Below are 4,226 nucleotides of genomic sequence, written 5' to 3'. Positions count from 1 at the left end.
CCAAGTCATCTCTAACTTAAACTCAAGTTGGTTCCTCTGAACTTTGGCTTTTCTAATGTTTTTGTAAACTGAATCAAAGAAATGAGAAAGACCAGCTTCATTCATACACAACAGGATGATGCCAAGGAGATGAAAGAACAACAAACTAGAAGAAATTTAGTTCTTGATTAACCCTACTAAGAAAAGCTGCTCCATCAACCTAGACAGGCTGAAGTGTTAAACGAGAGAGAAATAAGTTCCCATATTATTTAAGCCATTACACTTTTGCCTTATTTTTACTACAGCATTTTAGCCTTTACTCTAACAAATACCAGTAGCTAATTAGCACTTAAAGGCACTGGTATTTGTTAGAGTAAAGGCTAAGATGCCCTTAGCTAATTAGCACTTAAAGGCACTTATTAAGTCAGACTGAACCATTGGCAATCAGAATGACATTTATCTTCCGCACCAAATATTTTGTCTCCATGAATCCTATATAGCAAACATTGGAAAGGTGATTATACCTTAATCACAAGAGGAGACTACGAAAAATTCAAAGACCTAAGGAAATGTAGGAGATCAAGTGAATACAGGTAAAACCTAGGTTTATGAAGTTAATTTGATTCATTAAGTGCACAACTTTGTCCCAACGCCCAGTCTTTGTATCACATTGGTATGCATGCCTTTCAAGCATCTCAACAAAGAACACAATTTTTTTAATGTTAAAAAGAAAAATTTTATTTACTTTCTTGTACAAAATATAAATGGATGTTTGAGATGTTTGAGGCAGAATTTTCAGGCCAGGCAGGGTGGCTCACGCCTGTAATCCCAGCACTTTGGGAGGCCAACGTGGGAGGATCGCTTAAGCCCATGAGTTCGAGACCAGCCTGGGCAATATAGAAAGAAGAAAATAGGATTTTCAGGTGTCGAAAGTGGTAAATCATTGAGTAGACTGTGGCATCTGCTTACAAAAATAGTCAAGTACAAATTTGAATGCTCTCAATGTAGTAAATAATATATATATGTATACATACATAAACAAGTTTTTGTGTTTTGCTGTTGTTGTTGTTTTGAGGCGGAGTCTTGCTCTATCACCCTGAGCTGGAGTGCATAGGCACCATCTCGGCTTACTGCAACGTCCGCCTCCCAAGTTCAAGCGATTCTCCTGCCTCAGCCTCCCGAGTAGCTGGGATTACACGTGTGTACCATCACGTCTGGCTAGTTTTTGTATTTTTAATAGAGATGGGGTTTCACTATGTTGGCCAGGCTGGCCTTGAACTCCTGACCTCAGTTGATCCACTCGCCTCGGCCTGCCAAAGTGCTGGGATTATAGGCGTGAGCCACCACTCCCAGCCCAGACTTTCTTAATACATCTGAACAAACCAACATTTTGTGCTATCTATACTGCCTGCTCCTAACACTATGTTTGACTTTGACACATTCAACCCTAGTACAAACTCAAAAATGTAATAGGCTACCTGTAAATATATATATAGAGAGAGAGAGAGAAAGTCCAGGAAAATGTTATTCATGAGTAATGGGACTACCTTACTACTTACTCTTCATTATAAGACTACAGGTTCACCGGGCTCATGCCTGTAATCCCAGCACTTTGGGAGGCCGAGGCGTGTGGATCACCTGAGGTCAGGAGTTCGAGACCAGCCTGACTAACATGGTGAAATCCCGTATCTGCTAAAAATACAAAAATTAGCCAGGCATGATGGCGGGTGCCTCTAATCCCAGCTACTCGGGATGCTGAGGCAGAAGAATCGCTTGAACCTGGGAGGCGGAGGTTGCAGTAATTGCACCATTGCACTGCAACCTGGGTGACAAAGCGAGACTCCATCTTTTAAAAAAAAAAAAAAGACTACAGGTTATTTTTATACTTTTTTTTTTTTTCTTTTTGAGACAGGGTCTCACTGTCACTCAGGCTGAAGTGCAGTAGCACAGTCACAGCTCACTGCAGCCTAGACCTCCTGGGCTCGGGCTGTGAAGTAGCTGGGACCACAGGGGCACTCCACTATGTCTGGCTTTTTGTTTTGTTTTGTAGAGACAGGGTCTCACTATGTTGCTCAGGCTGGTCTTGAATGCCTGGGCTTAAACGATTCCCCCACCTCAGCCTTCCAAAATGCTGGGATTAAAGGTGTGAGCCGCCACGCCTGGCCTTATTTCTGCATTTTCAAAACTATCTATAATGAGCTTGTATTAAATAGTTTTATAATAAAGAGGGAACATGGAGATTTATAGGATGTCACAACTACCGTGGGATTTCTCATTCTTTTCCCATGTCTTCCCAGTTTGTATTCCAAAGCCTTGCATGTAATAGATGCTCAATAAATAAATGTTAGAGAAGGAAGAAAGAAAAAAAAGAAAAGGAAAGAAGAATGGGATGGAAAGGGAGGAATCTGCTGGACGTCTCCTGCTTGACCCTGCAAATTCACTGTCCATTCTTCTCTAAATCCTAAAAGGCTGGTCTACATGGGCTGCCTGGACGGGCTACCTTACCCTCTGGCTTCTGATTGGGTTGGGCCAAGGAGATGCACCAGCAGCCGACCTGAGGTAGGGAGGAGATATTTATTTGCTTCAGGTCACTCACTGTAGCTTGCTGTATCCCTCAACCAACTAGACCTAAGACCATTTCCATACAGCTCTTCTGACTGGGGAAGGCACTTTCTTCTCCTCTCTAGAGTGCTTTTACTGGATCCAGGGTACTGCACTCTCCTTTGCATTTTCTTTCCCTTTATCTTGTTCAGCCCTTTAGAAATACTTCCTTTAGGGCCAGGCATGGTGGCTCACACCTGTAATCCCAGCACTTTGGGAGGCCAAGGCGGGCAGATCACTTGAGGTCAGGAGTTCAAGACCAGCCCAGCCAACATGGTGAAACCCCATCTCTACTGAGAAACACAAAAATTAGCTGGGCTTGGTGGGGCATGCCTGTAATCCCAGCTACTTGGGAGGCTGAGGCAGGAGAATCACTTGAACCCGGGAGGAGGAGGTTGTAGTGAGCTGAGATTGTGCCACTGCACTCCAAGCCTAGGCAACAGAGAGAGACTCCGTCTCAAAAAAAAAAAAAAAAAAAAAAACATGGACACACTCAATATTGATTGTTTAATACATGCACAAAGGAAAAATATCTGTTGTGATATGATACCATTCTCAAGGATTAATTATTGCTTTTCAAAGACCAGCTCTCATTCATTTGTCAATATGACTTTTTCTTTTTTGATGTACTTGAAGGTACTTTTTTTACATATGAAAGACTATTTGGGGACTACTGTAGTGCTTTAAATTAATATTAATTTTACTAGAGTTGCCAATTCACAAACTGAAGCTATTAAGTTCAATTTATAAATGTTATTATTTTATTCTTAATCTAGTGACTTTTAACAGATACTTTTAAAGTGTCCTTTTATCCATATTTGATGTCATTTACAAACCTAGTTAACTAAATGTGACTTAAATATTTTAAATTTAATACACTATTTTTCCTTAATGCCTCTAACAAGCAGAATTTACCCAAATGTTTAGAATAATATGAATCTAATAAAAGTATAAATTTTGTGAATCTTAAGTTCTCTTTAACATTTCAATGTTTTTTGTAAACTTATCTTTTAACTTAAGAAAATTACAACTCTAAAACTGAAAACTCATTAACATATCACTGGCCATCAGAGAAATGCAAATCAAAACCACAATGAGATACCATCTCACACTGGTTAGAATGGCAATCATTAAAAAGTCAGGAAACAACAGGTGCTGGAGAGGATGTGGAGAAATAGGAACACTTTTACACTGTTGGTGGGACTGTAAACTAGTTCAACTATTGTGGAAGTCAGTGTGGCGATTCCTCAAGGATCTAGAACTAGAAATACCATTTGACCCAGCCATCCCATTACTGGGTATATACCCAAAGGACTATAAATCATGCTGCTATAAAGACACATGCACACGTATGTTTATTGTGGCATTATTCACAATAGCAAAGACTTGGAACCAACCCAAATGTCCAACAATGATAGACTGGATTAAGAAAATGTGGCACATATACACCATGGAATACTATGCAGCCATAAAAAATGATGAGTTCATGTCCTTTGTAGGGACATGGATGAAATTGGAAATCATCATTCTCAGTAAACTATCGCAAGAACAAAAAACCAAACACCGCATATTCTCACTCATAGGTGGGAATTGAACAATGAGATCACAGGGACACAGGAATGGGAATATCACACTCTGGGGACTGT

At 40.2% G+C, this 4,226-nt stretch overlaps 1 annotated feature.

Moving 5' to 3' along the window:
* Positions 667-868: a silencer, noted in NCBI's record as "fragment chr5:40860098-40860299 (GRCh37/hg19 assembly coordinates)". NCBI's record gives its function as "represses an EF-1alpha promoter that drives an FKBP-Casp9 reporter gene in an ReSE screen in phorbol 12-myristate 13-acetate-treated (for megakaryocytic differentiation) K562 erythroleukemia cells {active_cell/tissue: K562(+PMA)}" and the evidence as "EXISTENCE:reporter gene assay evidence [ECO:0000049][PMID:32094911]".

Source organism: Homo sapiens, chromosome 5 (assembly GCF_000001405.40).
Source record: "Homo sapiens chromosome 5, GRCh38.p14 Primary Assembly".
NCBI classification, from domain to species: Eukaryota; Metazoa; Chordata; class Mammalia; order Primates; family Hominidae; genus Homo; species Homo sapiens.
The sequence above is the reverse complement of the archived record's forward strand: the minus strand, read 5'-3'. Positions and strand labels throughout refer to the sequence as shown.